Source organism: Homo sapiens, chromosome 15 (genome assembly GCF_000001405.40).
Source record: "Homo sapiens chromosome 15, GRCh38.p14 Primary Assembly".
Classification (NCBI taxonomy): Eukaryota; Metazoa; Chordata; class Mammalia; order Primates; family Hominidae; genus Homo; species Homo sapiens.
This window is the reverse complement of record NC_000015.10, coordinates 71759002-71783715: the sequence shown is the minus strand read 5'-3', so window position 1 is coordinate 71783715 and position 24714 is coordinate 71759002. Positions and strand designations below refer to the sequence as shown.

General features: G+C 43.7%; 1 protein-coding gene across 10 annotated transcripts in view, besides 2 other annotated features; it reads right to left on the bottom strand.

Annotated features, from left to right (window-relative positions):
* Positions 1-332: 332 nt before the first annotated feature.
* Positions 333-24714, bottom strand: part of THSD4 (thrombospondin type 1 domain containing 4) — a 686490-nt gene continuing 662108 nt past the window's right edge. For all 10 annotated transcript variants that reach the window (NM_001394532.1, NM_024817.3, XM_047433080.1 and 7 more), the window contains 3 exons: positions 18517-18696; positions 12508-12652; positions 333-6484 (listed from right to left, as the gene is read on the bottom strand). In NM_001394532.1, coding sequence (NP_001381461.1) covers positions 6342-6484; positions 12508-12652; positions 18517-18696 — 468 coding nt within the window. In that variant the 3' untranslated portion in view covers positions 333-6341. The remainder of the gene's footprint in view (positions 6485-12507; positions 12653-18516; positions 18697-24714) is intronic.
* Positions 1667-1756: an enhancer, noted in NCBI's record as "active region_9705". NCBI's record gives its function as "activates an Ori minimal core promoter by ATAC-STARR-seq in GM12878 lymphoblastoid cells {active_cell/tissue: GM12878}" and the evidence as "EXISTENCE:reporter gene assay evidence [ECO:0000049][PMID:35858748]".
* Positions 21289-22488: an enhancer, noted in NCBI's record as "P300/CBP strongly-dependent group 1 enhancer chr15:72053567-72054766 (GRCh37/hg19 assembly coordinates)". NCBI's record gives its function as "activates an origin of replication core promoter dependent on BRD2, BRD4, P300/CBP, MED14 and CDK7 cofactors, with strong dependence on P300/CBP, by STARR-seq in HCT116 cells {active_cell/tissue: HCT116}" and the evidence as "EXISTENCE:reporter gene assay evidence [ECO:0000049][PMID:35650434]".

Sequence of the window (24714 nt, the reverse complement as noted above, 5' to 3'; positions counted from 1 at the left end):
AGTGGCTGCCAACCTATTCTGCACAATTCCCTGGGGGAGACATAAAGAAATTCATGTGAGATTGCATCCTGGGCGCGGTGCACACGCCTGACGACTTCACTTTAAGCTTCTCAGGTGAGTCTAATGCAGCCTAACATAGGACGGGTGGGCTCATGTTCTTTCTAAGGCGTGTCTCATTCTCTAACTGGCCCGGCTCCACCTCAAGCACCCAAAGCCAACGTCTACAAGCGGCTGACCTCTCAAGGGTCTGAGTTTTATTTTTAGAGGGGGCTATTTGTAGGAGAACAGAACGTGAATAAGGCCAGAGAAAGCACACGCTTGTCAACAAAGCAGATATTTCAACCAGTTTATTGTCTGACTCTTCTTTTTAGAGGGCGCTATTTGCAGGAGAACAGAACGCGAATAAGGCCAGAGAAAGCACACGCTTGTCAACAAAGCAGATATTTCAACCGGTTTATTGTATCTTTACAATAATAAAAATAAATTAGTCACACACAAAAATAGTCATTTTTGCTGAAGAGAAAACAGACCATATTTACTCACATAATTCGCCTTCTACCTTTCACCTGCTTATGTAATAATTTAACACTGTAGAGGGGACATGGAGGTGACGGAGTATTTAGTGGGTTCCTTGCTCCTGGCTGTGCAGTTCACAGGCCCCACAGGCCTTGGCCCCAGCATCCCCAGCAGGGACAGTGGAAGTGTCAGAGCAGTAAATGCCACCACTTCCCTCTCAGCCTCTCCCTGTCCCCGCCAGCCACCTGCCTCACCCACGGCTCTAACCAAGCCCACCGAGCAACTGACGCTGCCAGTCTAACAACGGGGACAAAGCAAAGAGAAAGGGATAACAGACACCCTCCCATTTCCTTCTCCAAATGTCTGTGGATGAGGGGAAGGCAGATTAGATGAGGAAATATAATATTTAAGATGAAAAAGTAGCAATCAGGTTCAGGTACAATGCTACCTGAATGAGTCGAAAAGCAGAGTAATTTATATTTGATCTTAAACCTCAGGGAACTGGACTGATTAGCATACTAAACAATTGTAACTATGGACTGAGAAAAAGACATCAATCATCGTACAGCGACATTCCAGGAGGCTGGGTTAGTATGATCACATGCTTTCACACAAATGTGGATCGCATATGTAAATAAATACCTATCAGGTCCCTTTAAAATTAACACATTCTAAATAATAGAACTATTTTGGTGTAGTGACTCATTCTGCAGATAGAGTTCAGAATACATATTTCCTATAAACATCTTGTATTTACAGAGAACAAAATAATAAGTTATAACAAAGTATATCCTTCTGTCAACTGAGTCGTGGGGAAGGGGTCAAGGCAGGGGGTATTAGTTTGTATAGCAGGTGGCTTCCCTCTCGCAAGAGAAAGGACTGAGAAAGTTGGCTGGAAGTTTTCACCCTCTTGCGGTCACACCCTCAGCACGATGGACACCCCCCCCCTCCATCATTATCTGCTGAAATGAACAGGAATGGGGGGTGGTTCAGGGTGCAGGGAGTTACTTTGCCCCTGCAAAGGTGCAGAAACTCCAGTCGAGCTGAGAAAGAGTGATGGTATCTATAGGGTCCTAGGCAAGCCATGGCTCTGCTTACACCACGGTGAGAGACCCTGGGCAGGCAGCCCCCCATCCTGCCGCTCAGCTACGCCTCGATGCAGACGGCGGCTCTGACCAACTTGCCAGTGTTTCTCTGAGACATGAGGCCGCATTCAGCTCAGGGTTTCAGTCCCACAGTGGGCTCCCCATGGCTGACAGGGTGGCAAAAGTCAGAAACGGAAAGTGCATAGCTGTGTACTTGCCTTCCCCCACCAAACAAATCACCTAAAGCTCTTCTACTCACAGACTCCCCTAAGCCCTGAGTGGAGACGGCCCTGAGCATCACGTTGCCCAGCCAGATGCTTGAATCCCCTCTCCAGCATCCCTGGCAAACGGCCTCTGCTTCCACCTCCAGTGATGGGTGGGTCACCACCTACCACAGTCCCTCTATCTCTGGAAGGCTCCAACTTGTGAAAAGCTGGGTCTCTGCAGGAGCTAAACTGTGCCTGCCTGTAGCTTCTTGGTCCTGGTCCTAGGAGAGCTCTCCTTGTGCCCTAGTGCCTTCTCCAGCCTGAGGGTTCTCATGAAGTCCTTCCTGCTGTTTCTGAGAGTCTGCACACTTCATCAGGACGGGGCATTGATAAACTGATGTTATTATAGATGATCGGTTTTCTTCTTAAAGTATGGTTCCGGCAAATGCAAACACAATGTGATGTGATCCTCACCACTGTTTTCTCCTCACGTAGCCTGCATGTCTGTGGGTTTTGTTTTTGCATGGTTCCATCCCACTTTGACTCACACTGAGCTTAGTCAACTGAAATTCTTGCCTCTCTCCCACCTTGTATTTAGTTTTTCATTTTAGCCCAAATATAGTACTTTATGTGGATTCCTGGTGAATTTTTAACATCCAAGTTTTATTCTAGTCTCCCTGATCTTTTTGGATCCAGCACGTGTCACCCAAGCCATTGGCTCTTCAACTTCACGTCACCCATACATTTTGTGAGGAAGCCATCGATATTTTCCCATGTAAACCATATTAAAATGTTTTATATGGCAAGGATCAAATACTAGTCTCCACCCACAAGGCTGATATAGATTATCCAGCCTGTTTTAAGGGAAGTCATGTTTCTTTTTACCACTTATATTTATGTCTTCCTCCTCATTAGAATTGATATTCCAACTATAAAGTGGCTATCCGAATGAAAAGAAAACCCACAACATTTGTTTAGACAGGTCCTGGTAATATCTGGATTTCTCTGCCACATAACTTGATGAAAATACACCAAGCTCGTGTCTTCTCTTTTCTGTCCCTTTGTAAGGCCATTCTTTTTAAAGCAAAAAGAGTGTTGAATGCTAAATACTTTGAGAATAAGTAGATGAGTACATAAGAAAATAAAGAAAAAACCCTCCAAGAACTCTGGGCCAGAGAGGTAAGGTAAAGGGACAGGTAGGCACAGTGCGGAGAATTCTTGTCATGTTCTAGTTCCCTGGGGGCGGGGACAGGCTGCCTTGCCCTCCCTGGGGTCCCCAACAGCTTGCAGGCAGCGGGCACTGAGCATACCTTTACGGAACTGAACTGACTCCCTCTAGTGGCTGGCTTTAAATGGCTTTTTTTTTTCTTTTGGTGTTTTTGTTTGTTTTTTTAGTTGTATTTCTTAGGCCATCCCTTTTCTACAGAGAGAACCGCAAGTCATCGTGAGGGTGGAAAGAATCGATAGTACTAAATGTCCTTTGCCTAGGCTGCAAGAGGCACAATTTCCTTTTTCAATGGATGAAAGTAAAACGGCAAACTATTTTTGTTTGGACTTTGTTGACTTTTGTGAGGAAACCATATGACAGCTTTAATATCTAATTTTAAAATTCAGAGCAGGAAATGAGGCAATCCCGTACACAGGCCAAGAAAAAAACCGTATCAAAATGTAAATATCAATTCCACATTACGGCCAGTTAAAGAACAATGGGAAGACCAAGAAGGAGATGGCAGTGACAGAAGAAAGGAGAGGGGGAAATAATGGGCACTAAGAAAGCAGAAAGAGACATATTTGGAGGGAGATGGCTACCGAAATCTGGGCTTTTCTTAGATCCTCTCCAAGGAAAGTTATCACTGGAAATACCCAAGGCCCTGATTGTATGCACTGTGCTAGGGAGAAAGACATTCAGATGCTGAAATAAAAAACTAGGGAATTAGTAAAAATTGGATCTCTAAGACAAATAAATTGATCAAACTATAATAATAATCAAACTTCTAATAATGTATAACCTCTCCAGAGATGAACTCCAAGAACAGCTCAATGGTTTGTTGAAAAAAAAAAAGAGACCCCTGGTTTATGCACTTTCTCCCCAAGGGAGACATGGGGTTGATCCATCGGGTCTTCTTCAATTGCACAGTTGGCAGGCTGGCCATTCCCATGGAGGGTCATTCTCCTTTTAAAGAATGGTTAGGTAACCTTCAGCAGCCATAGGGCACTTTAGACATAAAGAGACAAAGCCATCACTGACCCAGCCCAGCCACGAGAATTCCTGAGTTGGAAGAACCAGGGTGTTCACCTCCCACTCAACAGAGAATTCCCTTTAAGGACAGAGCGCTCTCTCATGTGTGGTGGCCCTTGCCTCTGTTGGGCGGCTTTGATGGCTAGAAGGTGTTCCTTTAACTTGAGCTAAAACAGCCTTTCTCTCTTCCACTCATTGATCTTAGCCTGCCCTCCAGCATGAAAAGAAAACCTCTTCAAATGACTGGCTTGCTTGGAAAGATCTGAGAGCAGCCACATACAGGAACAACTCTCCTCGTGACAAGCAGCAAAACAAGTGGTGAGTGGAAAAGAGCAGGCCCTGAACAGCACCAGTCAATATGCTTGGCCTCTCTGGTCTCTTTTCACTTTGTCGGTTTGGGAGCCTGGGCCTCTGCCAGGATGCTTATCTGTAGGAGTTCCAAGAGAATCAGGAGATGGGGATGCTTTTGGGAAATGATGCCTGGGGCTCCCTAGAAGAGAAGCTGGAAAGCTACCCACAGAAAGGCCAAATAGAATTTCTGAAAGCCCCAGGTTAGTGGAAGCCTAAAGAGCATGTCAGGCCAGGTTGCCATACTGCTTCCAAAAGCTGCAAACCATCATCACAGTGGCAGATTTGTCAGCTAAAAGAGCAAATGGGGGAAACACTTTGCTAAGAATCCAGGCTTGCTCTAAAAGGGAAATATGCTCAGGACCATAAGACAAATTTTCTGTAAGTTTAACATTTGTTTAGCTTGCCATTTTTTCTTAATGGGTAAAACATACATATATTCCTCTTAACTGTTTTCAGAGGGTCCACCTTTCAATATGCACTGCATCCTTCCAGGCCTGCGGCCTCTGGAACTGGATAGTTGGGGAAAGTGAATTGGAAGAGATGGGGAAGGGTCCACAGCTCCTTGTCGCAGGCCAACTGCATTAATGCAGAGCTTGGTGCTCAAGTCTGGGGGTGGGCCATATGGACTGTGAGTCATGGGGGAGGGGAGGAATTTGTGGCCACAGAGGGAAATTCATAAACAAAACCAGAAAGACCAGAAAGAGACTTTTTCTAATACAGCAGTGTTTCGGCTGGGACAGGTTGGCCGGACTCTCCAGGAACGTGGTGAAGAGCGTGGGGGAGGCGGCTGAGGCAGGGCAGAGCCCAGGCTGCAGAGCTGTGTGCTTCACAAGTTGGCTCTGTGGTCGGGAAGGCTCCACGGCCATAAGGACCCTGGCCTTTGATTTCCTGGGAGGAACAGCACTTGGAACGGAGTAAGAATTTCAGGCAATCACCTGGTTTCCCCAATGGCTTTCTTGTCTCACGGACAGTTTAACAAAGCTGGCAGAGTCCTGTAACTAGGATCTGTAACTTTGGGGGTAAGGGCAAGTAGGAACAGACATCCAAAACAACTGAGTGCTGGGATAAAGGCTTGACCGGAAAGATTTCAGGGGCCTGGGCTTTGTTTGCATTCTGGGAAACTTCTCAGTCTCTTGGTCAGAAATGAAGCAGCACCTTTCACATCTAAGTACAGGCCCCAGGCTGGATACTGGTAGATGACTGGGGCGGGGACTCAGCTCTTCCACTGGATGGGTGAATATACCTGGCAGGTCAATTACTTAAGTTGAGCCTCAGTTTCCCTGTCAGTAAAATGGGGATAATGAGTCACCCCCTGCCTCCCATTCTGGGATGTTGTGAGCTGCTAAGGAGCTAGTATCTGTGAGTACACCTGCTAAATAAAGCACAATATTCATGTGAGCTATCTGTGTCATAGGGCAGGAAAACAGTCTAATGTCTTTGAGAATGAAAACAGGCACATCTGGGCTGAGGTCACAGAGGGATGCACGCGTGTCAGCAAGGCTTAGTGGGGCGCTGGGTTGGGGGCGCTGCCTCCTTGGACTCTCCAGGGTGCTAAGTTTAGAAAGACCAGTAGCACCAGGGACGGGGCAGTGCTCAGTCAGTGGCCCATCTGCTGACTTGAAGGTGCCAGATGGGAGCAGGGCTGAGAGCTCCATGTACTTCCCACTGCTTGACTTTCAAAGGGCACCATTAGCAGATGCCAGGTCCAAGGAGGGGATCATCAGTACATGGTGATGCTTAAAGGACTGACTGTGGCTTTCAAACATCTTGTGTAAAAAGCCCCTGGGTACCACGGGGTGCATTCACCGGAGGCAGGGGTGGTGACTAAGTTGGTTGGCAGCGCCTGGGCCAGGGGGCCCGTGGTGGAGCAGCAGCCAGCCAGGCGCACTGCTGAAGCCCCCGGGAAGGCAGTGATGCTGCCCTACTGATGGGGGTGCAGGAGTGTTATCTGCTCCCCAGGAAGCCCGTCTGCCTGTTGGCCACACGGGTGCAGGAGGCACAGCAGGCGGTCTTGTAGTAGTTGTAGACACAGAGTCTTGCCTGGACCACCACGTTGCAGTTGTAGTACTTGTCCTTGCAGTTTTCATCTGTAGCGAAAGAGAATGAACAGAAGACTCCCTGAGCACAAGAGGCAGCCTGGACCAGTGGGAAGAGAAAGGGCAGTGGCTGTGGCTTTAACTCCTGCGCTGCTGTTTATTACCATTGTGGGGTATGAATGTGTGCCAAGGGCTCACAGGTTTTTCTCTTTCTTTTAAACACGATAAGGGAAATAGGTATAGAGAATAAGTTACTCATCTGTGTCCTCACTTCTCTCTGATCACTTCCTCCTTCATCCTCATCACTCCAGAGGTAATCAGAAGTTCCAAATTTGGCGTTTCTTATCCCCAAACATTTCTTTACACTTAAACTCTATGTGAGGGAATCCCTCACCACTCTGTGACATTTAAACATAAAAGATACATACTGTATAAGCTCCTTGGCAACTTGCTCGACATTGAATTTGTGCGATTCATTCATATTTGATGAATGCTATATTTTCATTATTGAATTTTCTTGTGTATATAATCCACAATTTAATCATTTTCTATTGATGGACATTTAAGTTGGACATTAATCCAATTTTTTTTTTCTAGTGCAAACAATGCTTTTAAGTAGTTTTGTTACCATCCTCTGCCTGGGCCTTGCTGGGTCATAAGGTATATCCAACTTTGCTAGATACAGTCAGTTTGCTCTCCAAAGTCGGTATAACTGTTTATGTTCCTGTCAGTGAAACAGAAGAATTCTCTTTTTGCCATATGTTTTAGTTTTTGCTGAGCTAGTGAATGTGAAATGATTCCCACGTGAGGCTGAACATATCATGTATATTTGCCATTCAAGCTTCCTTTTCTGTGAATTGCTTTTCTGATCTTTTGCTCATTTTCTGATTTAGTTAACTTTAAAAAATGATTCACGAAAATTCTTTATATCTAATGGATCTGATCCTTTGTGAGTTAGGTTATATGTGCTGCAAATATCTTCTTCAGCCTGTGGCTTTTCTGATCACTTTGCTTCTGGTGTTGATTGATAAACAGAGATTTTTAATTTTAATGTAATTGATATTATAATATGTTTTCCTTTGTGGTTTGGAATTGTTGGTTTCATTTAAAAAACCCTTCTGTACTCTGAAATAAAATATAAATTTCCCTGTTCTCTTCTAAAAGTTTTAAAATGTTCTTTTCACATTCTTTTGACTAATCCACCAGGAATTAGGGTTTGTGGAGTGTATGGTATGTGTAGGATGAGAGGAGGGAGTTCAGTTTTCTTGTTTTTTTCCTTGTATATGGATAAACAATTGTCTCATGACCATTTATTGAATTGTTCATCTTTTCCCCACAGCTTCATAATATGACCTCCATCATATATCACACATCCTTTATATGTGTATTTCTGGCCTATTCTGCTCTCCTTGCTTTTTTTATCCATCCTTGTGCCAAGATGCCTTGATATGTGGTAGGAAAAGTCCCTCAACATGGTTAATCATCAAAACAGCCTTGGCTCTTCTTGGTTCCTTGCTTTTGCTCTTCCATATAAACTTCTATTTATTTTATTTTATTTATTTTATTTTTTTTGAGACGGAGTCTCGCTGTATCACCCAGGCTGGAATACAGTGGCTCTATCTCAGCTCATTGCAATCTCTGCCTCCCGGGTCCAAGCCTTTCTCCTGCCTCAGCCTCCCGAGTAGCTGGGATTACAGGCACATGCTGCCACACTTGGCTAATTTTTTTCGTATTTTTAGTAGAGATAGGGTTTCACCATGTTGCCCAGGCTGGTCTCCCACTCCAGCTCAAGTGATCTGCCTGCCTTGGCCTCCCGAAGTGCTGAGATTACAGGCGTGAGCCACCACATAAACTTTAGACACAGGTTGTCAGATTTTTCTATGAAAAACCTTGCCTGGATTTTGATTAATATTGCTTCCATTTATAGATTACTTTGGGAAAGAACTGACAATATACTTCTCAGCTGCTTGCTTTTTAAAATATTACTCATAAATATATTTAGATAATTTTTTGTATCATAATATCTACCATCTTCTTTTTTGGGGTGTCTGTATTTTGTCCTATGTGCTGGAACATAATTAAATAAGTCATTTCCTTCTAGTTATAGAAATGTAATTGCTTCTAATTTTTTTTTTTGAGATGGAGTTTTGCTCTTGTTGCGCAGGCTGGAGTGCAATGGCATGATATCGGCTCACCGCAACCTCCGCCTCCCGGGTTCAAGCGATTCTCCTGCCTCAGCCTCCTGAGTAGCTGGGACTACATGCACGTGCCACCATGCCTGGCTAATTTTATGTATTTTTAGTAGAGATGGGGTTTCACTGTGTTAGCCAGGCTGGTCTCAATATCCTGACCTCATGATCCGCCTGCCTTGGCCTCCCAAAGTGCTGGGATTACAGGTGTGAGTCACGTCGCCCAGCTTGCTTCCAATTTTTATAAGTTACAAGAAATTGTACGGTTCATTCATTAATTCTACACAATTCATTAAGCCCTATTTTTTTTTTTTTCAGAGATGGGGTCTTTCTGTGTTGCTCAGGCTGAGGTGCCGTGACTGTTCATAGGGGCAGCCACAGTTCGGGTTCCTGGGCTCAAGTGATCCTCCTGCCTCTGCGTCCTGAGTAGGTGGCACACCCGATGAGCCCTATTCTTTGCATGTGTGTGCCCCTGTACATTTTTGAAAGCATATTTTTAGTATATATTCCTAGAAGTGAAATTATTAAGTCAAAGGTAATAATATCTTTGTATCTTGATAGATATTGATAAAATTCTCTTCAAAAAGTTTACACCAAGTTACGAGTTGCCACTTGACCTATCCCCCATGCGGTTGCCAACAATGAACAAACATTGTCTAATATTTTAAAAGCTTGCCAATCTTATGGAAAAACATGGACTCCCATTATTTTTAAAATTTGCATTTCTGATTACTAGTAGCTTGAGCATTTCTTCAGCCTCTTGTAGTTTTTTTTTTTTTTTTTGAGACAGAGTCTCACTCTGTCACTCAGGCTGGAGTGCAGTAGTGCGATCATGGCTCACTGCTTCCTCGACTTCCTGGGCTCAGGTGATTCTCCCACCTCAGCCTTCCAAGTAGCTGGGACTATAGGCATGCGCCACCACACCTGGCTAATTTTTATATTTTTTGTAGAGAAGGATTTCACCATGTTGCCCAGGCTGGTCTCAAACTCCTGGCCCAAGTGATCCACCGGTTTCAGCCTCCCGAAGTGCTGGGACTACAGGTATGAGCCACCGCACCCGGCCCTGTGGTGAGTTTGTTCATTTCCTTTATCCTTTACAAAACTGGACCACTTGTCTTTTTTAAAAAATTGAGTGAGTTCTGTCTATATTGGGGATTTAATTTTCTGTCTACTTGAGTGACATTTATTTGATTTTAAGATGCTATCAATTGTAGGATGATTTAATCATGTCACTCTGGGATTAAATGAAAGATTATATGCAGATTTCAAAAAGCTGACAACAGCACACATGTACCCATGTACTCAGGTACTATTTTCTTCTTCAGCAGCATCATCAAAATGTGCACTTGAGCCTTCTTTTCCTTCAGAGCCTACACAGATTCTTGCTATCAGCAGCCCTCTGGGATATACCGAAGTGTGTGTCATAACTCTGGCTTGTGGCCTGGACATCTTTAGTAACTTTGGCATTGACAGGTATAATTTTGAGGCACATCAAAGAATACCAAGGCTTTGTCTACATATTCTGTTTTGTTAATCTCATAGTTTCCCTTTTTTTCTCTAGTTGGATTTTATATAATTAGAAGTTAGACAATTTCCCCTGCTTGAAAAGATACCATAGACAAATACAGAAGACAAAAACAGTGGCAACACATTTTGTATTATATTATATTAGCTAGAAGCCTTTGACATAGTGAGGCAGCTGAGTGACAGCTCTTCAGAGTACCTGATTTGCTTATGCCAGTCATTCCTAGCTTTGAGAATTACACAATCAATTCCAAGGACCTGGTGATTTTGATTGTCTTTAGTTATATTATCTGGCCTGAGACAAACAGGCAGCTTTATGTGTATAACTTTTTTTTCTTTTCTTTTTTCTTTTTCTTTTTTTTTTTTTTTGAGACATGGTCTCACTCTGTCTCCTAGGCTGGAGTGCAGTGGTGCGATTGCACCTCACTGCAGCCTTGACCTCTTGAGTTCAAGTGATCCTCCTACCTCAGCTTCCTAATTAGCCGGGACCATGGGCATGCCCTACCATGCCCAGCTAATTTTTAAGCGTTTTTTGCCAAGATGGGGTTTCCCAGGCTGGTCTTGAACTGCTGGGCTCAAGCAATCCTCCCATCTTGGCCTCCCAAAGTGCTGGAATTACAGGTGTGAGCCATTGCATCCAGCCCAAGATACTTTTTTCTAGCATTTTTACAGACTGTTTTCTCTGTTAGAGTCTTTAATCCATTAGACATTTATATATTTTATATTTTTAAAGGGATCTTCAGTGTGGTCTCAATACAATGGAAGCCTCTCCTCTCCCCACTTACTTATCATTCCCCCTTTATCAAACTTAACTTTCCTTTATAAAGGAGTCTGTTTCAGAATTCTGCATTATAACGTTGGTATATGGTATGCCTATATCATATATCAGGTTTGTGCAAAAGTAAATGCAGCTTTGAAAATAATGGCAAAAACCACAATTACTTTTGCACCAACCTAATAGTTTTAGTTTCTGTAGCTTTATAATATGTTCCAATATATGGCACATACGGCTCCCCTTGGGAACCTTCTTTTATCACCTTTATAGTATTGAGTGTTCCCATTCAGGAACATGTTAATGTTTCTATCTATTCACATTTCCCTTTATATTCTATAGCAAGGCTTTCTTACTTTTATTTATTTTTTCTATATAGATCTTATAAACTTGTTAATTTTCTTCTTATGGAATTTATGGGTTTTTTTGGTAGCTACTGGGAATGGTCATCCCCATAACTTTAGTCATGGGTCATTGCTGGGACATAGGAAACTTATGATCATAAAGCATCTATGCTGTAACTGACACATCTTCCCTGGGATAGGAAGGATGTTAGGTCAGTATATTAAAACCTTCAATTTGGTCCACAGCAGGAGGAATCTACCCCATGAAAGCTTATTGATATATTAATACATTTCCTTTGATGTTATTGTGAAGACAGAAAAGTAAATATGTTCTTAGCAGACTGTGAAGAAGCTACTGAAGGGGCTCGGTGCACCTCCATTCTGGAACCAGTCCTGACTATACCTGGGGGTGCATTCTGAGTAGATTTCAAGTTGGGCTTTGGGGCATCCAATATGCCTCTGGAGATGCATCTTCACCCACCTCACACTTCCTATCTGCCCAATCTATGTGCGAGGTGCCTTCTTTGGTTTTCTGGCTGTACTTGAGCTCCCCTGCTGGGATGGGCCCCTTCCTCATGAACCGCAGCCCATGAGAGGGCCTAACCTCCCTAACACTCTCCAATGCTTTCCTCCAGGAAACTGGCCCCTATTTCAAGGGTGCAGGTTGGGGTCTTCTGAATTGCAAGACTGCTGTTCTTTGCAGGACTCTGACCATTGTGTGGCCTAGATCTTCCTGCTGTCACTCCTCCTCCTTGAGTCTAGTCACTGCATCTCTCTGGACTCAGCTTGCACTACGCCCCTCTGAGAGATGGTCAGACCCTCCATCACTGTCTCTACCAATTCTTGGCCTCCTCCCCTTCCTCCCTTCTCTGCCAACTCCCTGCTAAGGTCCCAGAATCTCCCCACATGGTCCAGCCTACACTGGTTTGCACCTACAATTAAAAGTTGACATTTTACTACTTTGACCTTAAGGACGATAGAGCCAAATCTTTGAAGGCATTACCATTTTAATCAATCCACACTAAAGTGTGTCTCTTGGTGGGTGGCTTAGACAGCCATCCTCGCTATGAATGATCATCTTAAACCATGAAATTTATAATACCAAAAGCACCTCAACCCTCTGAACTCCATGACTGTGTGCAAGGTCACAGAAAGACCTAGAAGAGGCTTGTTATTGTCACACCGGAGAATCTGACAAGCTTAAAAAACACAAACCTTTCCCCCATGATTGAAATCTCTACTTACCAACTTCAGGGACACAGTCCTGAGGGTTACAAGATTCTCTCTCTTCTGGTTTCAACTGAGGGTCACAGAGGTTACTTAGAGTCATGTCATCAGACAGACACCGCACTTCCCGGACCCGAAAGCCACCCTGGCAGCTCTTGGAACACTGCATGGGAACAAAGGGAAAACATCAGATTTTTGGGCAGACCAATAGCTCAGCACACTGGAGAAAGAAGACACTGGAAAATCTCAAACATTTCCAAAAGGAGACAGAATATGAAAACAAACTCCCATGTACCTATCAACCAGCTTCAACAATCAGCAACTCATGCCAGGTGTGTCCTATCCATATCCCCAGCCCTCCTGCTCCTCCCACTATTTTGAAGCAAATCTAGACATCTGATCACTTCTTCCATATACTTCAGGCTGTAGCTCTAAAAGACAAGAACTCTTAACAATTACCACAGTATCATTATTCTCCCTAGAAATTACAATAATTTCTTATTCTCTTCAATATAGACTCAGTGTTCCTACTTCCACTTATCTTGCGAATCCTATAGATTTTTTTCTTTTTTGAGATGGAGTCTTGCTCTGTCACCCAGGCTGGAGTGCAGTGGCGTGATCTCGGCTTGCTGCAACCTCCACCTCCCAGGTTCAAGCAATTCTGCTGCCTCAGCCTCCCCAGTAGCTGGGATTACAGGTGCATGCCACCACACCTGGCTAAGTTTTGTATTTTTAGTAGAGACGGGGTTTCGCCATGTTGCCTAGGCTGGTCTCAAGCTCCTGACTTCAGGTGATCTGCCCACCTCGACCTCCCAAAGTGCTGGGATTATAGGCGTGAGCCACTGCACCCAGCCAAGATTTTTTTTTTTTTTTTTTTTTTAAAGGACATATCATATTTATTCATACACATGCTGGAATTATTGGTGCAGACATTTAAATACATTTTCTTTGAGAAAGTCCTTTTTTTTTTTTTTTTTTTTGATGGAGTTTCCCTCTTGTTGCCCAGGCTGGAGTGCAATAGTGCAATCTCAGCTCACAACAACCTCTGCCTCCTGGGTTCAAGCAATTCTCCTGCCTCAGCCTCCCAAGTAGCTGGGATTACAGGCATGCACCACCACGCCCAGCTAATTTTTTTTATTTTTAGTAGAGACGGGGTTTCTCCGTGTTGGTCAGGCTGGTCTTGAACTCCTGATCTCAGGTGATCTGCCCGCCTTGGCCTGCCACAGTGCTGGGATTACAGTCGTGAGCCACCACAGCTGGCCTGGGAAAGTCCATTCTTTTTTTTTTTTTTTTTTTTTAAATTTATTTTTTTTATTGATAATTCTTGGGTGTTTCTCACAGAGGGGGATTTGGCAGGGTCATGGGACAATAGTGGAGGGAAGGTCAGCAGATAAACAAGTGAACAAAGGTCTCTGGTTTTCCTAGGCAGAGGACCCTGCCGCCTTCCGCAGTGTTTGTGTCCCTGATTACTTGAGATTAGGGATTGGTGATGACTCTTAACGAGCATGCTGCCTTCAAGCATCTGTTTAACAAAGCACATCTTGCACCGCCCTTAATCCATTTAACCCTGAGTGGACACAGCACATGTTTCAGAGAGCACAGGGTTGGGGGTAAGGTCACAGATCAACAGGATCCCAAGGCAGAGGAATTTTTCTTAGTGCAGAACAAAATGAAAAGTCTCCCATGTCTACTTCTTTCTACACAGACACGGCAACCATCCGATTTCTCAATCTTTTCCCCACCTTTCCCGCCTTTCTATTCCACAAAGCCGCCATTGTCATCCTGGCCCGTTCTCAATGAGCTGTTGGGCACACCTCCCAGACGGGGTGGTTGGCCGGGCAGAGGGGCTCCTCACTTCCCAGTAGGGGCGGCCGGGCAGAGGCGCCCCTCACCTCCCGGACGGGGCGGCTGGCCGGGCAGAGGGGCTGACCCCCCGCCCACCTCCCTCCCGGACGGGGCGGCTGGCCGGGCGGGGGGCCGACCCCCCCACCTCCCTCCCGGACGGGGCGGCTGGCCGGGCGGGGGGCCGACCCCCCCACCTCCCTCCCGGACGGGGCGGCTGGCCGGGCAGGGGGGCTGACCCCCCACCTCCCTCCCGGACGGGGCGGCTGGCCGGGCAGAGGGGCTCCTCACTTCCCAGTAGGGGCGGCCGGGCAGAGGCGCCCCTCACCTCCCGGACGGGGCGGCTGGCCGGGCAGAGGGGCTGACCCCCCGCCCACCTCCCTCCCGGACGGGGCGGCTGGCCGGGCGGGGGGCCGACCCCCCCACCTCCCTCCCGGACGGGGCGGCTGGCCGGGCAGCCAGCCAAGATTTTTTAATACAGATTTTTTTTCCTTTAAAAATCAGGATTGCTGGGCGCAGTGGCTCACATCTGCAATCCCAGCACTTTGGGAGGCAGAGGCGGGCAGAGCAGGTCAGAAGCTGAGGAGGTCAGAAGATCGAGACCATCCTGGCTAACATGGTGAAACCCCGTCTCTACTAAAAATACAAAAAAATTAGCCGTGCATGGTGGTGGGCACCTGTAGTCCCAGCTACTTGGGAGGCTGAGGCAGGAGAATGGCGTGAACCTGGGAGGCAGAGGTTGCAGTGAGCCGAGATGGTGCTACTGCATTCCAGCCTGGGCAAGAGTGAGACTTTGTCTCAAAAAAAAAAAAAAAAAAAAAAAATCAGGATCTGCGTCAGGTCTGCAAGTTGCAATTGGTCAATAAGTCTCTCACAACTCTTTCAATCCATAGGTTTCCCTTCCACTGTCTTTTTCATTCTTGCACTTAAAAAGTTTTTGGTTGCGGTGGTGGGGTGGAACTGAGTCATTTGTTCTGCAGTTGCCCATAGTCTGGATTTTGCTGACTGTGCTCCCACGGTGTAATTCGTGTTCCTCTATGCTCTATATCTCCTGAACATTGGAAGTTGGACCTAAAAGAGGCCTTAACAGGTGCAGGGTTTTTTTTTGGTTTTTTTTGTGAGACTACTTCCGGGGGGCTGCCTCTCTTTTGGGGATGTTAGTGGCCACTGATGTGCAATGCTCAGATCCATCAGTTTACAGGGAGTTTAGAATTCTAATTCTAATTCTATCATATTCCCTCAGCACCTTTACTCTTTGGTTACCCAGTGGTATGTCGTTTAAGAAAGAAAGCATAAACACTTGAATCTTTCCCTTCATTTACGGGTTTTCATAATAATAAGTTGGTTCCCTAACATCCTATGATGATGACTTATCAGTTTTTTAAAGTATTATAAACTTCATTGTAAATGGATGGATTTAAACACATATAATGTGTTTCATCTAATCTATGGTATTATTATTCTTACTGATGCTCAATGGCTCACAGGAGCCTCTACAAGTTGGCTCTGGGATGCTTTGGACATGAGCTCTGTTGTGTTTAAGAACTTCCTTGCTGCCTGCTAGAAAAAGATATCCCAACCTAACTTACATATATGCTGCCCCAGATCTGGAAGCGGCCACCCCCTCTGAATCCCGAGATTGGTCACTGATTCTAGACTCTTTCAGTGGGTGAAATTAGAAAAGATTTTTAGAGAGATAATTTCTAAGTTTATACTGACACTTCCAATTCAAATTCAGGACAACAGGCTTTTTATTGCGGACTTAAGCCATACAATATCTATCTTGTATCTGTATCTACTTTCTCCTAAGTTTGAACATCCTACTTCTCAAGGATATTGGGGCTAACAGAATTATACTATCATCTAATTACTCATTTACCTTCTCACACATTATATGCCCAATCATCATATCCAGCACAACACTATCACCAAAAATAGGATAATTGCAAACAGTGTGAACATTCTTCTGCAGTAATTTTTTTTAGGGATAGAATGTCAAATTACTATGTATTCAAGTCACTTGCAATAGTGCTGATGCCACCAACTAGAAACATATTTACATTAATTTGTTTCATTGTATTTTCAGTTCTGGGGGATTGCTTTTTTAAAACTTAATTTTCTTTTATGATTATCTAAAATATTTACTTAGTTCCAAACTCAAATTTGTAAAACAAGGTACATTCAAAGAAGTCTAGCTTCCATCAGTCTTTGCTATTATAGTAACCATTTACTTCATATTTTCTAAATTTGCATCTAAAAATGTCCCTTTTTGTGGTATACACATCTATCAGTTTTGACAAATTCATACAGTTGTGTATCTCCTACCGCAAACAAGACACGAAATATTTTCATTGCAGACAAAAAATTCCCATGCTGCCCCTCTACGGTCAGATTGCACAGATGTGGTCACCCCATCCTCCAGCAGGCACTGATTTGGCGTTTGTAGCTGCTCCTTTTACAGAATATTATATAGATGGACTCATACAACACGTAGTTTTTTGAACCTGGCTTTTTTTTTTACTTAGCAAAACGCACCGGAAGTTCATCCATATTTTTGTGGCTGAGTTTTTTGTTCCGCTGTGTGGATGCACCATGGTTTGTCCGTTCACCTGCTGACGGACATTTGGGGTGTTTTTGAAGTTTGTCTCCTTCAACTTGGCCTGGTGAGCATGGCTCTTTGTAGACTCTCCAAATCAGATGACAAAAGAAAACTGCGATCTGTTATTGTATCCTCAAGCCTTGGTCAACATCAAAATAATTAAATTCCACTTCCCAGAAGTTGCCAGAAACCTTTCAACCCACCTCCTTCATTCCCATCTACCTCTGAGATGTGGTTTGCTACACAGCCAAATGGCTGTTATCACTAGAGCAGACAGACACTTTTTGGAAATGGAATTCTCAGCTTTTATTCATATATTTTCTAAGCAAAATTCCCTTTTATCACCCTTGGATCACTGTGAGAAAGGCTCTGGCCCCCCTACTCTGGGCTCACTACAGCCTCTGCTTGAAGATCTTCAGTGATGAGAAGCAGAATGACCCTTCCTCCACTTCCCACCCCAACCCACAGAACTACGCCAATGGTCACCTGGGATGGGGCCCTCAGGAGGTTTTCTGGTCACCTGGAATGATGGTGAGGAGGTTTTCTGTTTTAGGAAGTTTCTTGAAAATGAACTCTTCAACTTGAAAAAAATGAATCTTATCACTATATCCATCCTTTCCCCTTTCATTTCTTAATAACTTATTTCTGTATTTATCAATCTCTCTCTTTCTTCATTTACACACTATTTCCCTCCTTACAAAAAGGATTTGAAATGACTTGAGAAAGACTTAGAGGGCCACAAGATTTTAAAAAAGTGAGAAAACTAGTACTAAAGGAAGATAAAAGTAGGAAAAAGAAAGAGAAGCCACAGGAATATTAGCACATAAAATCCACTTTGCAGGATCTGGTATACTAGGTGAGGCATAATTTTGGCTTTGCGCTTCCTAGTAGCCAGTTCAAACAGAAAACAGAATCAGTCCCACAATCCATAATCCAGAATGTCTATAGGATTTTTAAAAAGTGTACACACACACACACACACACACACACACACAGAGAGTGTGTGCGTGTGTGTTTGTGTAATGTAGTAATTAAAAAAAATGTTTTTCAGAGATGGGTTCTTGCTAGTTGACCTGGCTGGTGTCAAACTCCTAGCCTCAAGTGATCTTCCCACCTTGGCCTCCCAAAGTATTGGGATTACAGGTGTCAACCACCACGCCTGGCATCAGATGTAGTTCTTTTAACAGCACCCTTGAATCCTCAATCCTCTATGGCAGCATTGCTCAAAATGCAGTACAAAGACAACTCCATCCAACACACCTCAGGAACTTGCTAAAAATGCAAATCCTCGGCCACAGTTGGCCCAGAGTTGGTCTTGTCAAACAAGATCCTCAGATGATTCCTATGCACACTGAAGTGTGAGAGTCACTGTTTCTACAGTTTAGAAAGCAAGATCATCTAGGTCTCAGGCCTTCCCCACGAAGCAGGCTGAGTCACGGGGTACTCCAGCAGCTACCACCTAAGGTAGATTGCTGTAGGGAATCTCTTTCAGGGCTGAACCCAGTGCCTGGCCCAGAGGGGTCTATAGGAGTTCAGGTGGGGGACGTTGTGCCAATGCAACCTCCATCAAGAGCACCATGACTTACCATGCTCCATTCGGTGCTAAACCATTTGGCTCCGCAAGGCTTGAGGTGGCAGGATTGCTGGCTGGGGGGTTTCTCCAGGAAAGAACATTCAGAGGGGTCCAACACTTCAAAGGTGTCTGCATTCTTTCTAACACAAATCACCTCCCTCTGTTGCGTCCCGCTCCCACACTCGATGGAACACTGCAGAAAGAAGCAGAAAAAGATGAGTGTCACATGATGGAAAGGGGGTGGCAGCTACTGTCCATCAAGGGATGCTTATGACGGGCACCGTCAATTCTACCACCAATTCTAGGAGGAAGAACCCAGGAGAACTTGGAAATGTTTCTGGAGGAGAAATGGCATATGGAATGCAGTTTCCTAACAGTTCTGTCTCCAAATGCAGACTAGGTGCCCTGATTGTCATACCTGGAGGATGCTAGTCACTAAGATCTTGTTGTCTTCTGTGCTGAGAGGGAAACAGTTTACCATAAACTCTCCTGCAGGAACACACCAGCCAGGTCATTTGGTTGTCTCTGTCCCATAGACTCTGGCACCTCTCACAGGAGGCAAGACAATGAACTGACATTCTTATCTGTTATTCTCTTAGGAGGTGGATACTGTGACTGAATGAACTCCTACACTCTGCACACCTGTGAACACCCAAAGCTGAGGAGAAGACCTAAGACTTGGGAAAATGTACCCTATGGTCAACCCTCCCCTTCCAACAGGGCAGCCAGCGGGAACTGTGACTACAGAGCCCAATCTTCTTGTTTCCTAATGTGGTGCTGAAATCTGCACCATGGGGTAGTGACCCCACAAAGAAGCCAGGCAATTACATATGTTGGTTCATTTCATTAGTTTATGGAAATAAAATGCATACAACTGTTTGCTGATAAATCATCCCATTTAGTATCTATTACTTTGCAAAATGTTTTTTGTTCATGTTTGGTTTACTCAATATTTTTCCTTGTTTTTGAGACAAGGTCTCACTCTGTCACCCAGGCTGGAGTGTAGTGGTGTGATCATGGCTCACTGCGGCCTCAACCTCCTGAGCTCAAGTGGTCCTCTCACCTCAGCCTCCAGAGTAGCTGGGACCACAGGTGTGCACTGCCTTGCCTGGTTCATTCGTTCTTTTATTTATTTATTTTTTTTTTGAGGCAGGATCTCACTCTGTCACCCAGGCTGGAGTGCAGCGGAGTGATCTTGGCTCACTGCAACCTCCACTCCCCAGACTCAAGTGATCATCCCACCTCAGCCTCCAGAGTAGCTGGGAATTACAGGCATATGTCACCACACCTGGCTAATTTTTGTATTTTTTTGTAGAGATGGGGTTTTGCCATGTTGCCCAGGCTGGTCTTGAACTCCTGAACCCAAATGATCTGCCTGCCTCGGCCTCTCAAAGTGCTGGGATTACAGGCATGAGCCACCATGCCAGGCCTTGCCCGACTAATTAAAACAATTTTTTTTAGAGACGGGGGCCAGGCGCGGTGGCTCACTCCTATAATCCTAGCACTTTGGGAGGCCAAGGTGAGCAAATCGCCTGGGGTCAGGAGGCTGAGGCAAGATAATCACTGGAACCTGGGAGGTAGAGGTTGCAGTGAGCCAAGATCGTGCCACTGCACTCCAGCCTGGGTGACGAGCAAGACTCTGTTTAAAAAAAAAAAAATTTGTTTTTAGAGACAGGGTCTCATTATATTGCCCAGGCTGGTCTTGAACTCCTGGCCTCAACCAATCCTCCTGCCTCGGCCTCCCATCGTTCTGGGATTACAGGCGTGAGCCACTGTGCCCAGCCTCTTAATACTTTTTGATTTAAAGTTGTAAAGCTGTGGTCTATGTACTTTATTATAGACTTTAAAGAATCGACTACCTTTATAAGAAGCCTGCAACAATGTCTGCAGTTCAAACTCTAAATATTAGCTTTGCTGTCCATAGGCAGCCACACAATCAAATAAAAATAGAGAGAAAGAAAAACACGCATCTACAGAAAAAAAAAATTATAAAACCCCCAAACCAACAAATGATGAAGTAGTCACACAGGGCATGAAATAGCAGAGGCCATCAGTTTCTGCTTTGTCTATGTCTTCTTTTTTGCCATCTTCGTAGCATTAAAAAACTACGGGATTTTTTTACTAAAAAAAAATTTTTTTTTTGAGATGGAGTCTTGCTCTGTTGCCCAGGCTAGAGTGCAGTGGTGCAATCTCGGCTCACTGCAACCTCTGCCTCCCAGGTTCAAGCAATTCTCCTACCTCAGCCTCCTAAGTAGTTGGGACTACAGGTGTGAGCCCCTATGCTTGGCTAATTTTTGTATTTTTAGTAGAGATGGGGTTTTGTCATATTGGCCAGGGTGGTCTCAAACTCCTGACACCTCAAGTGATCTGCCTGCCTTGGCCTCCCAAAGTGCTGGGATTATAGGCGTGAGCCACTGTGCCCAGCCAAAAAAAAACTATAAGATTTCCCACTCTGTTTCTCCTATTTTCTTCCATGTTAGTTTATGATTTGGAGTGTATTCGTGTCTTGTCCTTTTCTTTCAAGTGCTGCAGGCAATGGAAGAACTGAAGGCAGGAGAAGAGCCACAAGCTGCAGCAGGCAAAGGTCTGGCCTCTCCTGCAGGAGGAATGAGGATGGGGCAGGGGTGGGCGGCAGGGGTGGAACACTAGACTGAAGTCAGGAGACATGGAAACTAGAGTCTAGACAGTGTCGCTAAATAGTTCTGTGTCTTTGGCTAAGACGTTGCACTTTCCCAGGTCGCTGTGGTCTTATCTGAAAAGAGAAAGTGAGGGGTTTGAAAACATAATCTGAAAGACCCCTCAATGCTATGAGATCCTACATCTGTACTAAGTGTGTGGCAGAACAGAAGACTGCAAACTTTGATCAAAACTTGTAGTTATCTTCTGCTATTTTTGGCAAGTCCTTGAAGAGATTGTGTACTTCAGGGAGAATGAGCCCGTCTCAGCCTTCTCTTACTGTAAATGCTCAGAAATGGCAGAATATGTGCGTCTGGAAAGTGAATGAATGTGTTCATGTGTGTGTATCTCTATCTCTGTGTGTGTGTGTGTGTGTGTGTGTGTGTTTGCACACGCGCATGAGACAGCATTTGAAGACAAGAAAGGGCAATCAGCCTTGATGGACCAGAAATTATGGGGAATCTTTGAACAATGAAAGACAGATGAGATCAAATTGAAGAAGGAAACTATAGTCCAAATGCACACAGAGGAGGAGCTCTAGCAAAACTCATGTGCTTCAGGCTATATTGGTGGTGGACATGGAGATCAGGATGGAGGCCTCAGGACAATGAGTGATCAGCTGAGTTACTGGCCAAGAGCAGCCGGGCTGGCCTGACTGTGCCAAGGAAGAGGAAGCAGTGAGTCATCTGCCAGAAGCATTCGTGTCAAAGTGCAAAATGAAGTCATTTTCAGGTATTCAAGGGCTCAGAAACCTTACCACTTACAAATCCTATTTGAAAGACTTCCTGGGTTATAGTCTTTAGCAAAATAAAAAAGAACCAGGAAGAAGACACAGGACATAAAAGAAGGAGCTGGCAAAGACACCAATAAAAGCCGTTATTACTAATGGATGCCAGGTGTCTTTTTGGAATGATAAAAATGTGCTGGAATTGGATAATGCTGAATATGGTTGTACAACTTTGTGAATTTACTAAAAACCAATGAATTCTATATTTTTAAAGGGTAAATTTTATGGTACGTGAATTATATTTCAATAAAAAAATCTTTGGGGGGAAAGCAGAAAACTATTTTAAAATTTAAATCTATATTTTCTATAAAATTAACATTAATCTGGAGCTAGATCCAGATAATATCAACATCTTTTTGGAGATATTGTAGATTGAGAGAGTGGAGGTAAATAAAAGGGGAAGGCTTCTATTTTCTTTTAGGAGAGGATGTGGTCACTGATAACTTGACACTAATGGAGACATAAAAGTTTAAAATTCTGTGCTAAAAATTTGAATCTTATCACAGAAGAAATACCACTAGAAGATTTATAACTTCCAAAATGTTGGAGGGGAAAAAATGGAATTAAGAAAACCTGACTAATAACAAGCATGTTGAAAGGAAAGAGGAAAGAAGCAAGAAAGCATGAAAATAGAAAACACAAAATAAGATGGTAGGGAAAAGTCCAAACATATAAGTGATTACAATAAATATAAATGGTTAAAATTTAACTCTTAAAATACAGAGGTTTATAGATTGGGTAAAAATAAAGACAAAAATAGTCCTGAAAGACATACCTTAAAAATACATAGAACGTTTGAAAATTAAGAAATTGATGAAGATACATCAGGTGAAAATCAACAATAAGAAACAAGATGGAGTAATTCAAATAGTAGATAAAATGTAATCCACAGAGAAAAGCACACATGAGAAAAAGTAATATTTAATAGGGATAAATGCTTTCAGTGAGAAGTGATGGCAATTAGGCATGTTTCTGTACCTAAAGAATTCCTGCAGTTGCACTTTTGTGGATCACTGATTCGCGAAGAGATGAGAATAAATATATCTATTGCAATAAATGCAATCAATAAAATGCAATCCAGACCCAGAGGCAGACAAAATGGCTGCTCCTGAAGACTAGAGACTGTGACAGATCTCCCCGGAACTAAGACAATCTAAGGTTGCAGTAAACTCAGAATTGATAGAGAAGAAAGGAAATAATTCTGGGCATAAATAATAGACTTGGTAGACTCTCATGAGTAAGAGTTGGGCTACTGTGCCTCCAGAGTAGAAAAAGACTCCCTAAGCTTGATATACTCCTAGTTAGTTTCCAGGGATCTGGGAAGCAGCAGAAATGGAATATATTCCTTTCTTGGTGGAGTCAGAAAGACTCTAAAGCCAGAAACTCCTTGGTCTCTGCCTCTCCATGGACTTAGGTCTCATTCTCTCAGACTGGCTTTTTGCACAAGCCTCAGTAGGGCCACTGCCAGCCCTTGAGCTCACAACCTCTTAGTGAGTCTCTTCCCTAAAACACAAATGAAATGTCCTTGGGAAGGATTCTGTGGCTCAGCTTGGGTCACACATCCACCTGTTGGATCACATGTCTACTCCTGGACTAATCACTGTGACCAGGCTGGTGGGGTATTCGAAATACCAACTTTCATTCAACCCATATGGTGAGAAGGAACATTTATTTTTATATTCTGAAGCCAGTTAATGTTTAAAACTTACCTTTCAAGAAATAAGCATGCTCTTATTTCATTTTCTTTGGGGATAATGTCAAATTCCTAGGGCAGGGAATTTCCAGCAGGCCCTGACATCCTTATAAATCCAGAACCAAAACCCTTGGCCACATTCAATTGTATCTTGACCCTTTTGGACAACAGGGCAACAAATCCTTTGTTTCTAATCTTAGCAGAAATAAAGGTTGTCTTTGCCAGGGTTCATACCACCCTTGGTTCTTTAAGCTTAGGTCTAAAGTCAATAGGAAGCCACAAGCAAAAAAGGCCCTGAATCCTGCTCCCTTCTCTTCTAAGAATGGTAGACATATGAGTTCGATTGTACTGCTTATCTTCACGTGTGTGACTGTAATGATCTGATATGATTTCACACATCTATGGATATTTGGTATAATTGGTGTCCTATATACAGTCGCTGCTGAATTATCTTTGGGGTTTAGGTCCTATGTATTTTACTACCAGTAATGAGATAGAAATAGCTGGCAGAAAAAATAAACATAGAGAGATGGGAACCAATATTTATTAAGTGTTTCCCATATCCCAAGCAATGGGTAATTCTCTTTATGTATAGCATCTTATGAAAACCTCGTAACAACCTTAAGAGGTTGATATGATTACCTTCATATTCAGATGAGGAAACAGGCTCAGAGAGGTTAAATCACTCACCTAGAGCCAGAAAACTCATGAGAAGTCAAGCTGGGATCAGTTAGCAAATGTGTCTAACTTTGATATTCACCAGAGTAGCACTGGAAGTACTTGAATTCTTTCTGAATTCTCTATATTTTAAAAAACATTAAAGGGAATTTGAATAGAAAAACATTTCCCTATGCTTTTTGCATAAAAACTCTACATTGAAGTGGCAGAGATGATAGGGTTTGAATATTTTCACATTCTATTTCTCACTTGCCATTATACCACATGCACTTTCACATCTTCCTAACGATCGCTGTCATTGTCACCTTATATTTTACTGAGTTATGATATGCCATAATATCTGTAACCATCCTGCTGTCATGAACATCTCTGTTGAA